This window comes from Homo sapiens, chromosome 11 (genome assembly GCF_000001405.40).
Source record: "Homo sapiens chromosome 11, GRCh38.p14 Primary Assembly".
Lineage (NCBI taxonomy): Eukaryota > Metazoa > Chordata > Mammalia > Primates > Hominidae > Homo > Homo sapiens.
The window spans coordinates 95,229,986-95,242,928 of NC_000011.10; the positions used below are offsets into that span (position 1 = coordinate 95,229,986).

Sequence of the window (12,943 nt, forward strand, 5' to 3'; positions counted from 1 at the left end):
GGCGATTAAGCCAAGTAAGCTAAACAATACTGGAGTAAACTTTCTATCAGTCACTCTAGGAAGCAGCAATAAACTGATGGTGCGCCTCATTTTTCTGGATCAACACGGGGGCAGGGGGGTGCTAAGGAGGAATAACCCACATCCACCTCAGTCTTCTCCTCCCCCAACCCCAGCCTCAGGAACTGGCCAGGTCGAATTGCATTTCCCATGGGCATAAAGTTCAAGATGCTTTACTGGTTCCTTTCGAGACTGAACTACAGACACAGGACTACCATCCAAACAATTTGAAAACGGGGGTTGTTGAGCAAGGCGCGCAAGGCAGAAGCAACCGAATAAACAAAAACAACACTCGCAAGAGTTAGCCACAGCAAAGAGGGGCCAGGTTCCTCGGGATCCGACCCAGCTGCTCTGATTTCACACCGACCTCCATCAACAGCTAAACTGCACAGGGAGGAGGATCGAACGGATCCCTCCCGCCCTCCGCCCAAGGAGCCGACCCGGGGTAGCAAGGTAGGGAAATGAGCCGTAAAGGAGAGCAAAGGCACCAAATAAAAGGAACAAGGGAAGAAAAAATATCCCAACCCCTCCAGACTTGGGTCTGTCCCGGCGGAAATAAAAAGCCGCAGTAGTCCAAACCCTCCTGCCCTCAACCCACGCCCCCTTTCTCAGTCCCTGCGGAGGGACGGTGCCCGGGGATCCCTCTCAGCCTCCCCCAGTGCGCGCCCGGGGACGAGCCGCCCGAGCCCCGGCCGGCAGGAAGCGACCCTCGCCGGCAGGACCCCGGGCCGAACCCGTACCTTCCGCAGCACTTTCCGGCAGTTGGTACAGAGCAGGTAGTTGGCGGCGGCCGACGGGCTGCCGCCGCCCCGGTTCATCGTGGCTGCGGGCGCCGAGGCGAGAGCGGGCGGAGGGCCGGGTCCGGGCTGTCACTGCGGCCACTGCAGGGCCGGTCCGTCCCCCCGCCGCCAGCCGCGATTCCGCCTCAGCCTCCTCAAGGCGGGATGTCGGGAGGAGAGGCGACTGCCTGAAAGCTAGCGGCACTGCCAGAGGCGACCACCGCGGCAGCTGCCCCAGCGACGGCGGAGACGGCGGCGGCTGCTCCTCACCGGCCCGTTGTTCCACCCGCCCCCATCTTCCAGACCCCCGCCCCCGCCAGGCTAGGACGAGCAGCCGCCACCGCTGCCACCGCCACCACCGCCGCCGCAGCGCCTCAGTGCGGCCCCGCCTCCGCCGCCCCACCACCTTCACCACCTCCACGCTCCGGTACCGCCCCTCCCGCCAATCGGACAGCTCCGGCTACGCCCCCAGGGCGCTAGCCCGCAGCCAATGAGCAACGAGAGCCCGACTGGGAGTCGCGCCGGCCAATCGCAGGGGCCGAGGAAGCCTTGAATCTCCGGGCAAGTTAAGTTTATCTCCGAGGCTCGGAACTGAAGGGAGGTGGCGGTTAGCTAAGTAGTAGGGTAGCAGGGAACAGTTTGCTCTCCTCTGCCAATAAGAGGACGAGGGTGTGTCATATGCAAATATACTGCCCTCCAAGCCCCACCCCCAAGATAAGCTACGCCCCCTTCTCTAGGTCCCTGCAGAAGTGGTGAGGAGAATGAGATAAATAGTTGGGAGCTAGAGCTCGCTAGAGAGTCTAAGATTGAGCTAAATATTTCCTGATCTCTCGAGAAAGGGGGAGGGGAGTGGGAGGATTAAATGTTCCTTCCTTCAGGGCAGTGGTTAGGCTTTCTCTCCACCAAAATCTAACTTTAGCTGTAAAGAAGACTGCAGTTATGTAGTACTTTGTATCCAGGGATCTCAAAGAACTTTACGCATCATTTATTGTGAACCTTGTTTTGCAAAGATTTCAGTTACTTGAGGCTTGGGAGGCGGATAGGGGATAAATGTCTGAGTTATATATATATTTACGCAAGTAATCGAGTTTGAGGGGAGAGACACAAAACCTCTGGTTTAGCGGTTTCCTCTTGTTTGTGAAGCACCTTCTAGCAGTTATCTTAGAGATGTAAGTTCATTTACTTGTCCAGCACTAAAAGGCCAAAGGGGCTTGTTTTCTCACCCAAAAGACCTTCCTGAGGCAGCTGTTCGGATACATGCAGAGCACAGCGCCCTGCTCAGAAAGGAAGGTTCAGAGAACAAATTGTCGTTTAAAACTATTGGGACAAACCTACCTCTTCTAAAGCTTAAAATGGTAAGTCAGGGTTTTAGCGTCCACGTTCTGCGGAGAGAAGGCAGACTTGACTGGGGAAAGCGCAGGCTGACCGAGTGTGGCGGGACAGACGGGTAGGGGAGCCAGGTCTCCCGAAGGGGCTAGCAATGCGCGTCCGAGTCGAATGCGGGTTCCCGATGCTAGACGCCCGCAACCTGCTCCCGAGTGAGAACAAAGGCCGGCGCAGAGCGAGAACCTGATTGGTGCCCGGTCCTCACTCGTGTCCTCCGGGCCCCAGAGATAACTTGCATCGCCTACTGGCAAGGAGCTCTGTGCTCACTGGAGCCCAGCTCCCCACCCGGCCATGGCCGTGGCCACAGGACTGTGCATTATGACATCACCTGTTTTCGATTTTTAGAACCTAATCAGTATTCTCGGCTTCTCCCTTTTTAAAGGTCTCCAGCGTACCAGGATTTGTGAAGGCCTGAAGTTCGTAGAATGAAATCTATGTGGAGATGATTTAAAAGAACGGTTTCACTGGTTTGCATTTCTTTCTTTTCTTTTTAATTAAAAAAAAACAACAACCCTGGTTTCCTTAGGGATTCAGGGTGGTGTTATGCAAAATCGGAAAGGTACACTTGGAGGAGCTAGCAAGTTTAGCATATCAAAGCTATTAGACCAATTTGTGCGGTTAAAACTGCCATTCTCATTTCTCAACAGCTGTCTCCTCTCTGTCCCTTTTTAGAGACCAACACATATAAACCAAGTCTACACAAGAAACAAAGGTAATGGAAATCTGCTAGTATCAGGTTTAAATAGATCAAAATAGAGTAGAAAACCCCAAAAGGGTCTAAGTTATGTAGTTGGGTAAAGGTGTTGATCTATTTAGCCAGTGTTAGCTAAAGGTCGCTTGATGCTGTGTAGACATACATAACTAAAGAGCAATGAATGGTGTGGGGAAGGTGCTTAAGATTCAGTTAGAAGAAACTGTAAAAGCAAGTAAATTCAGAAAAGGAGGGAATTACCACATGCCCTTCGATGCAGAGAACCAAGAAATGCAGGGAGAAAGTCAGCAAGGCACAGTTTTTCTAAGAAACACATATGTGTCCCCATTTAGTGGTAAATTTCTTGGGCTATATTCCTGGCTGGTTCTGGCTTTTAAAGCAGATTTTATGTGAGTACATTTTAAAGGAAAGGAGAAATTGAAGGATGAAGTGAATTTTTGTGCAGATTGAATTTTCTCAAATAGAATTTTAAATTCATATTGTTTTCTAGCACATTCTTCTTATAACCTTTTCTTTTCTTTTTTCACTTGACAGCTAAAATCCTTTCGAAATGAGTTCCTTTAAGTTCTTCAGTAACTAAATCCTCCAGAAAGGAAAGCCGAGAGAATCTAGTCCTATACAATAACACCCTCTAACAAAGATCGCTAAAGGAAGATTTTAGTAGATGAATATCTTCAATAATACATGGTCACATACATGTATCTGACCATATGATGGCTCTCTGCACCAAATTCCTCCAAACTATTATAATATGTATTGTCTGTAGTGCTATTTATTTGGCAGTTAATCATGTATTACATTGTGACATTTCTTACAGTGAACCATTATGTATGTGTTTATGTTCTGCCCTCAACTACTCAATGCCAGTACCTTATTCTTAACACAGCAACCACCCTTTCTGGTCTGTCCTCACACCCTCATTCCCATCATAGTTATTCTCCTCTCTCATGGAAATGTTCAGTTTCTGGACATCTCCTTTCTCTTCCATTCTTCACCTGACCTTCCTTCCTTTCTTGGCCAGCCTGAATATTATAAAGGGAATTTTATTTCAAACCCAGGATCGCACTTAAGAGGAAAAGAAACAAAAGCCAGTTCTTTTTATTGCACATAGAACAAGGAGAAACTCCACCCCTTTTGTTGTCTGGTATGTTTAAAACAAGAAAGAACTTTAGAAAAGTAGGATATGAGTGAAAATTACAACCAATGTTGAGAACTACTTTTTAATTTTTTATTACAAAATTAGGATGATACTTCATTAAACATTGTACATCATTTCAAAACTGTTATCTCATAATCATGTTGCTTGTTTTGAATTATTCTTTTAAAGTGTAATTTTTTTAAGCAAAGAATCCATAAAATTACATGGCTTGGATGTACCATAACTTACTTAATCCTTATGCTATTGTTTAATATGTGGGTTGTTTCAGATTTTTCATGATTGTAAATAACAAAATAAACTTCCTTATACTTAAGTTTCTGGCAGAATCTCTGATTCCTAGGCCTGGAATTTCTGAGTAAAAGGGTATACATATGTCTTAAGGCTCATGGTGCAACTTGCTATAATATTTTGTGGAAAGATTTGAATAAGAACACAGGTGAGAGCAATCATTTGAAAGCTATCATTCTGCATAAGGCCCATCAGTATTCCACCTACCTCTACCTTAATCCCTTTCCCTTCTTCCTTCTGCCTGGTGAATATCTTCTGTTGAAACACTTCCTGAATCAAGCACTTGTCCAAGCATCCATAGTGCCCCTCTATACCTCTTCTTTACCAAAAAGCTCACTAGGGAAATGGTAGGTTTAACTCCTGTTTTCTCATTAGACTTCAAACCCCTTGAAGGCAGGGATAGAGTAACATTTACTTTGTATCCTTGGCTCCTAGCTCAACTGATAGGGAAGTGCTCAAAAAAATTTTGGAGAAAGTAATGAGTTTCACTCTTTATAAAAGCACCCCAATAAATGTGAATTGAATTGTTCAGAAAAATCCACTGCTTTGAAGCAGAGAGATTAGGCTCATGTTCTTACCTGTCACCAATCCTTCTCTGACATTGAATGTATTAACTATTATGGGTTGGGCATCATTCTCTCTTTTATCAAATGAAAGTTGTTACCACAAACCAGAGGTGTAGGAAGGGTTGAAGGAAAATTTTTGTGTTTAGCATGTTTGATTGAAGTTACCCTGTTAATAATATGCTGTGACTTTGGACTTGAAATTGTTTACTTCTTTAAATATTCTCATTCTATTGACCAAAGAACTGAGTTCCTCTATAGTTTCAAAATAAGGAGTTAATTGAGAAAAATCAGTTACTAAAGATATTTTTAAAACTCCATTTCTTGAGACAATAGGTCACTTTCTAACATTTTGCCTCTTCAGGCCTCTTTTTCTTTCTCAAGGGGACACCCAAAGCATTTGGATTGCTGGGAAAGTGCTGCATTATTTACACATTTGCAAATACTGTAATTTGTTTCTTGCACAAAGGAATTTACACTTCACACAATTGTAAATTGATTGCTCCCTCAGAGCTGTTAATTAGATTCCTGCTATTTTTTTCTAAGGCCCAAGACCAATACTACTCCAAAGGAGAAATAAGAGGATCTGTTCTCAAAAGGCCACTACTTTAGTTCCCACCCCATTCCACCTCTTCAATCACCCACCTCCACTAAGATTATTCTTATCGAAGCTCATTTTTCAAAAAACAAATATTCCACCAGGACCCAAATTCCTGTCAGCTTGCTCTTCTAACATTTCAGATCAGAGTTTTCTGTATTTAACCCCACTATAAAGCAGACTACAAAAGGCCTACAGATGTGAAGGGTGTGGTTTATTTGTTTGGCTTGCACAAAGTCAGCCAGCATGATGCTTTTTAAAAAATTTTTGAATTGCTTTCAAATATTCCCAATTCAGGATTTTTTTTTTAAACCAAAAATCTAGATTTCCATTTTCTTTAGAAAAATTGTCAGATCTGGTTACACTGGGCTTATATTCCCACAGGGCAACCATCTGTCAAGCTCACTACTGGCTATTTGGTTTGGACATGCACTCTTCTGTTTACTAAGGTCCCTGCCACTCCCTAGGGGTTATAATTTTGCCATTTTATTTACATTATCTTCTTGCCCTTTGTAGGGATTTGAATTTGCAACCTCCATAAACCTTCTCCAGCATCTAAATTATTGATCTGTTAGTTATCACTGTTAACTTTATCAGAGAACACTAATTAAAAATAAATTTGTCACCTCTTTACTATAACAAAAGGAAAGGGGTCACATGCAAGCAATATTGTGATGTATGATGTATGATGATGTCAGGTACCCTGAAAAAAAAATATATGTATATTGATATGGTTTGGCTGTGTCCCCACCCAAATCTCAACTTGAATTTTATCTCCCAGAATTCCCACGTGTTGTGGTAGGGACCCAGGGGGAGGTAATTGAATCATGGGGGCTGGTTTTCCCCATGCTATTCTCGTGATAGTGAGTAAGTCTCATGAGATCTGATGGGTTTATCAGGGGTTTCCACTTTTGCTTTTTCCCCATCTTTCTCTTGCCATCACCATGTAAGAAGTGCCTTTTGCCTCCCACCATGATTCTGAGGCCTCCCCAGCCATGTGGAACTGTAAGTCTAATTAAACCTTTTTATTCCCAGTTTCGGGAATGTCTTTATCAGCAGTGTGAAAATGACCTAATATATATATTATATATATATACATATATACACTGTATATAGTATGTATATATATCTCACAATGGGCTGAACAATTATCTAACTAAGAAGAGACTACTATGTCCTTTATGCTGCTAACTCCGCTTCTTATCCTCATTCTGCTCAAATCCCTATTCTAATTGTTGCTTTAGGATAAAGGAGCCACAGGTAATGTGGCAATATTGGAAGAGCAAGGAAGCCAGGCCTGATGCATTGAAAGTGTTTTATTTGATAGGCATTATCACATAGAGGCTAGAAGCCCTGGTTCTGGAGTTAGACATAAATTTGAGTATTGACTTTGCCTCTTACTAAATGTATGACCTTGGGCAAATTACTAAATTTCTCTATGCTTTCAATCTCCTCATCTGTAAGATGGAGTAATAATGCTACCTAACTCGAACGGCAATTGTAAAGATGGACTGAAATAATGCATTATAGTGCTCAGCAAAGTGACTGATACATTGTAAGCCCTAAATAAATGCTTACTGTGAACTGACACAATATAAAGGATGTTATACTCTCTACATACTGTGTGACCTGGGTCTAGTGACTTAACTTTCCTGTATCTCAATGTTCGTCATCTGCAGAAATGAAGATATTAAGATTAGTTTTGTCATAGAGTTTTTTTAAAGATTAAATGAATTCTACATAAAACACTTTAAAACAATGCCTAGCTTATAAGAAATGCTATGTAAGTTCTATTATTATATACTGTTGTTAGGAGATTTTTTTTTATTTGTCTTTTTTTTTCCAGTGAAGATCTTTGATTTTGAGATACTTGTCTCAGAAGTAAGTTAATATAGGGTAATAAAAATAGCACTGGACAGAAAGTCAAGAGACCTAGGGTTTAGTTCAGTGAACTATATATGAACTATATGATATATGCAAGCTTGGAATCACAGCTTATCTATCACTTGGAATCACTTCCTTTTCTATTAAATGTGGCAGGGTGATTAAATTGTGTCCAAGCAGATCCAGTTTTTGTGGGGGCCAAAACTTGTATGCTATAGGAAGCTTCTTTGAAAAAAGGAATGTAAAATTGTGGATGCAAAATTATTAATAGTTATGAAAATGAATACGTATTTAAACTCAGCAATAAAATCACAATAAATTTTTAAAAGATGAAAAATACTATAAAATCACAGAAGCCAGAAAAAAAAACAAATTTTTATTAACTGCCTGACACAACCCTGTATTACTTTTTCCCTACATTTCTGGGGCTGTATATTCCACTTTCCTCTTCATATGTTAATGACTTTTTTGGTTTTTTTTTTTTTTGAGACAAGGTCTTGCTCTGTCACTCAGGCTGGAGTGCAGTGGTGCGACCTTGGCTCACTGCAACCTCTGCCTCCTAGGATCAAGCAATTCTCCTGCCTCAGCCTCCAGAGTAGCTAACACTACAGGTGCATGCCACCACACCTGGCTAATTTTTGTATTTTTCTAGTAGAGACAGGATTTCGCCATGTTGGCCAGGCTGGTCTTGAACTCCTGAACTCACGTGATCCACCCACCTTGGCCTCCCAAAGTGCTGGATTACAGGCATGAGCCACCATGCCTGTCCTATTAATGATTTTTGTAATACTATCTTTTTTAGAGGGAATGGAAAGAGAATTCAGTCTTTCCCCTAGCACACATTCCCAGTTCTGAGTGTCCTAGGACACATGTGTGTCATGAAATAGCCTGTGACCTTACATCTTTGTGATATTATGGCTGGTGAATTGGCCCAGTGGGCAGTGGGAATATTCGTAGAACCTATTCTTTTATTGAGACTACTGGAAATAATAACCGTACACTGAAATGACTGTGATCCCCATAAATTTAACTCATAAACCCAAGCTAAAGGTATGTCCATCTCAACTTCCCCTTAGCCAGATCAACAAAGATACCCACAGCTTCTCCAATGCCTCCAGCATGAGGGAGATTGTGAAGGATGGAAATCGGAATACAAAGAAACTGTGATCTTTACCAGTGGTGGTTATAATAGCTTACTTTTGAAATGTATTTAAAAGTATGACCATGTGGGTAAATTGCTTGGACCTCTCTCAGGACCTCAGAAGGGGCCAATGCTAGTGATGGACCCTAAAGTTTAAACTTTATTAAATTCACGCTTAATCCACGTCTGAGTAGAGAATTTCAAAGCCCTCTTTAAACTCTATAATTTTGTGATTTGTTTTGTCTCAGTATATTTCAATGAGAATCTAGTGGAAACAGCGTATAGGAGAAGTAGGAGAATTTCTTCAAGTAGGTGGGGAGAAAGTAAAAGAAGCTCTATTCTCAAATATCACTAGAGTTGTGTTGGTTTTTGTTTGTTCTCTAAGGGATTTTTTGTTGTTGTTAGTCACAGTCTTCTTGATATTCCAAATCCACTGTCCCAAATATTCAACCCTTCTTTCAGAAATGAGGAAATTAAGACTGAAATATTATATATATATATATATATAATACTACTGTAAAATATACTGGCTGTCTGGGTGTTAAAAATGAGAATAGATTAATAAAATAGAAAAAGTCACACAAGCATAAGGCAGGTTGGGAGTAGGATATAGTTAATGGGAGTAAAGAGGAGTTATAATTTGTTGACTTAGAAGTCTTAGATAATGTAGTATTCTATTGTAGGGAGTTTACAGGAAATCAACACAGGACTGAGGTGAGATTGAAAGGGACCTCTGAATAGAATAATTTATACTTCTACTTTCAGATCTTCTGGATGTGACTATGGCATATCTAGACTTTGAGCATCTTTAGGGACAAGACTGATTCATCTGAATATTTCTAGTACTTGGAATCTAAGAGGTGCTCAAAAAAACTCATTGGATGACATGATTAGATATATTAGAGTTTGTTAGCTAGAAATCAAGTGAACAGATTATTTTAATCAAAAAATTCCCAATGTCTTAAAATTGTAAATATATTTTTATACAAAGGTAAAATTTGCCTTATGAGCCAGAAGACACATTCACAAAGTGTATGTGAATGATAGCAACAAAGACAGCAATTTCAAAGATGAAATGTCTTGAGATGATGCATTCTCACATGAATTGCAAACTTGGAATCACAGCAGCAACTTTTGAGATTCTGGAAGGCTGCAAAATTGGAAAATTATGCTTTGAAATATATGCTGTCCAGATAATCCTTTATTTAGTCATTTATTTATTGAACCCTTACCAAGTAGTAAGTCCTGGTGATAAAAGTAACAAAGGACAGGCTTATAATCTAATAGTGAGACTGAAGTATAATCTCTGCATTGTTACAGAAGATGAATAGAAAATGGAGAATAGAATGTAAAAAGGGTTATCAGCAGAGTCCAGAAAGATCTTTTGAGCATTTATGCCTATAACTGGATACATCTCAGTGGTAGTGTTGAAGACATATGATACAGAACTCTTGCTGTGTTTCGATGCAATGTACAATGTCAACAGGAAGACAGGATTAACCCCTATAAATACCAGAGAACAATACAAAACAGTGTATGATGAAATCACCTCCTAATTCCATGTTCATTAATTCACTCATTCATGCGTTCAAGCACTCCATGTTTGTGGAGTGCTTACTATGTGCCAGCCACTTGACTAGTCGTGGAGATAGAGTGATGAACATAAGAGTTAGAATTTATAACCTAGCAGAGAAGATGGACTTTAAACAAATAATCCCAGTGTGTAATGAGTGTTATAGTAGGGAAAAACACAGGAAGGGAACACAAAGCAGGGTGATCAAACCTGGTCTATGTCTCCCCTGGTCTAGGCCTTCCCCGAGGAAGTGAAATGTTAACCCAAGAAGTGGTCTGCCTCCTGGTTTCCAACAGCAACTCCCAGAGACTCCCCTTAGTAGGTCCTTTCCCAGTGTTTCAGTTCCCCATTTTAATATAGTTCATGCTCCAATTGCAAAACTCCTATGTATCCTGGCTTTTTACATTGCAGTAGGCAAACTTCCATGAGGGGTGCAAATCTTCCTTTCTTTTCTGAGGGGCACTATCCCTATTAAAAATTCACCAAAATTTTAATCTATTTTTCCGAATTAAATAATATCACTTTATTATCTAACATTTAGCATTTCACACTTAGCCCCCACCCTGTTGATTTCCATTTGTATATGTGCAAGTGATATGTGTGCACAATTTCTAACAAGTACATCGATATTATCTGTCTTAAGACAGTAAAGTACTTGAAGATAACCATCATATTTCTAATCCATATTCTGTAATCCCCGTAACCTTCATGGTAGTGATGATAATCATCATAGATATGGTAATAGAAGCAACCACTATCATTTTCTGAGTACTTAGTATGTGCCAATAATTATTCAATAACCTACATAAATTATTTTGCCTAATACTTATAAAACGTCTATGAAGTAGCTATTATTATCTCTATTTAAATGTGATTTATAGGGACTGAAAATTTGGTCAAGGTCACACAAGGTAGAGCTCTGATTTGAACCCAGATCTGCTTGATGCCACCAGGATTTACAGTGTTATAAAATCATGCTTTGGCATTATTCAGTTAGTCATTTTTATAAATATTCTTTGAACTAATTATCTGTGTTAGGTTACCAAACAATAAGGTCCACTAGATTAAATCTCTCATACATTTACCAAATATAGCTCACTGGACACCTATTGAAATAAATGCTATGAGAATAGGCAAACACATACCCATTATTCTCTATTCTAGTATTTTATTACCCACTGGCATATTACGTGAAAAATATTTGGGTGATCTTTGGATAAGAAAACTACCTTTGTTGGCACCCAAGTCAAAATTCCAAATGTTCTGAGATATAAGTCTGAAGATTCCTAGGCACTTGGCTAGTCACGGAGATAAAGTGATGGACATGATGAAGATAAAGTTGATAAAATTAACAATTAAGGGTAGAGGAAGGAGGTGCTGTTGGTACTTTCACATGCTATATCAAGACAAGTACAGGTCTATTGCAATAAGCTGGGATTAGATTCTCTAGAAATAAGATGAATAAACTGGTTTCCACATAACCTGCCAGCAAATTCAAGATGTTCATATCAACCTGTCTTATCCACAGCCTCCTCTAAGTAAATCTTTCTGCTGGTGGCCTTATTCTAAATAATTATGCTCTGTACTATGTGAGTCAACCGAGGAATAGACGCTTGACTCAAAGACAGTCATTCCGTAACCTAGCCATCCATCTGTATGGACTAGCTCAAAATGATAATCTGAGCCAATCAGATTCCTTTCTTGGAGATTTGGCATCAGGAAACTATGATACTAAGCCAGTTGGCAGCAAAGTCAGATTGTAAGAGGATGTCATGAACCATATGCAAACTAAAACGAAGAAGGAACAGAACGGATAGGAAGTAAAGGGTGAGGAAGCTGGGAGGGGTAGGAGGAGGGGGCAAGGCACAGAAAGAAAGCAAAGAAGCTAAGACACTGGTATTTAGAGTTCCTTAAATCCTGGTGTGTTTCCACTTCCAGTCCTTGTGTATCTCTGTAATAATTTCCTTCACCGATCTAATCTCCTCCCACTGCTGATTTTGTGAAGTAACTTAATTCTGTTTCTTTCATCCAAAAGAGACTGACGGAAATAATCTTCCTTCATTTCCACGTCAAGCACTTATACATATGAAATATTACCCTTAGTTCTCATTAGTAAATGGATGTGAAAGTCAGGACATTCCAAAAGAAAGAACTAGAACTCACTCGGCCAGAAAACCCCCATTTCAGTTTTTACACAGAAAAATTCTTACAGTCTATGTTTCACTAAGAATGTCTGCTGTGCAAAACCCTCAAACTTTTTAGAACGTTTTTTTTGTTCCAAGTTAGAGAACGGCAATCAGTAATCTATTACCCAAAGTGCTTCTCCTTTCCAGGTTTCATGTTAGAGTGATTCTAATATGTGTGTGCTATCAACTGCCTACACAGAAAACTGAGAGACAAAGGCTTTCTCCTTTTCCACACATTATCCTTCATTCAGACTTAATGCCTGCAGGTCCGGTTTAATGATTTCCCAGAGTTTATGAACGAAAAAGAAAAACAAAGCAATAAAAACAAAAATCAAAGTTAAATTTCCTCAAAAGTTTTCAAGAAGGAAGTAGTCAGGACAAAAACAAAGGGAATGAGGGCACTTTGTCTCAGGATACAAATTAAAGATCACTGTGGTGGCCTCTGTGGGGTGGTTATAAAGGGGACCAGGTGTATACTAGGAAGTCATTTAGTTTTAGAAATGTAAATATGTGTAAATGTTTTAATTTTACTCAACTTGCCAGAGGTAGAATGTCCCTGGACAACTAACTGATACATTTCTTTAGGGCCAATCGCTGGCTTTAGAAGAGCCTCAGCT

At 40.6% G+C, this 12,943-nt stretch overlaps 1 protein-coding gene and 1 long non-coding RNA gene across 5 annotated transcripts in view, besides 4 other annotated features; one reads left to right on the forward strand and one right to left on the reverse strand.

Annotated features, from left to right (window-relative positions):
- Window positions 1-2,490, reverse strand: part of SESN3 (sestrin 3) — a 66,963-nt gene extending 64,473 nt beyond the window's left edge. For 2 of the 4 annotated variants that reach the window (NM_001271594.2, XM_011542614.2), the window contains exon 1: window positions 2,172-2,490. Coding sequence is in view for 1 of the 4 variants with exons in the window: in NM_144665.4 (NP_653266.2) it covers window positions 798-875 (78 nt within the window). In the remaining 3 variants the exon portion in view is untranslated. Of the gene's footprint in view, window positions 1-797; window positions 1,218-2,171 lie in introns of those variants that run through there. The other 2 variants (XM_024448355.2, NM_144665.4) reach the window with 2 other exon arrangements.
- On the forward strand, window positions 201-4,419 carry LOC100129203 (uncharacterized). The gene is made up of 6 exons (NR_110295.2): window positions 201-510; window positions 1,140-1,588; window positions 2,067-2,191; window positions 2,605-2,689; window positions 2,895-2,934; window positions 3,469-4,419. It is a non-coding gene; the product is annotated as an uncharacterized LOC100129203 (long non-coding RNA).
- Window positions 771-1,080: a silencer, noted in NCBI's record as "silent region_3848". NCBI's record gives its function as "represses an Ori minimal core promoter by ATAC-STARR-seq in GM12878 lymphoblastoid cells {active_cell/tissue: GM12878}" and the evidence as "EXISTENCE:reporter gene assay evidence [ECO:0000049][PMID:35858748]".
- Window positions 1,091-1,240: a silencer, noted in NCBI's record as "silent region_3849". NCBI's record gives its function as "represses an Ori minimal core promoter by ATAC-STARR-seq in GM12878 lymphoblastoid cells {active_cell/tissue: GM12878}" and the evidence as "EXISTENCE:reporter gene assay evidence [ECO:0000049][PMID:35858748]".
- Window positions 1,596-2,235: an enhancer, noted in NCBI's record as "NANOG-H3K27ac-H3K4me1 hESC enhancer chr11:94964745-94965384 (GRCh37/hg19 assembly coordinates)". NCBI's record gives its function as "activates a minimal SCP1, AML or CMV promoter by ChIP-STARR-seq in naive H9 embryonic stem cells {active_cell/tissue: H9 hESC(naive)}" and the evidence as "EXISTENCE:reporter gene assay evidence [ECO:0000049][PMID:30033119]".
- Window positions 2,236-2,875: an enhancer, noted in NCBI's record as "H3K27ac-H3K4me1 hESC enhancer chr11:94965385-94966024 (GRCh37/hg19 assembly coordinates)". NCBI's record gives its function as "activates a minimal SCP1, AML or CMV promoter by ChIP-STARR-seq in naive H9 embryonic stem cells {active_cell/tissue: H9 hESC(naive)}" and the evidence as "EXISTENCE:reporter gene assay evidence [ECO:0000049][PMID:30033119]".
- Window positions 4,420-12,943: the final 8,524 nt, after the last annotated feature.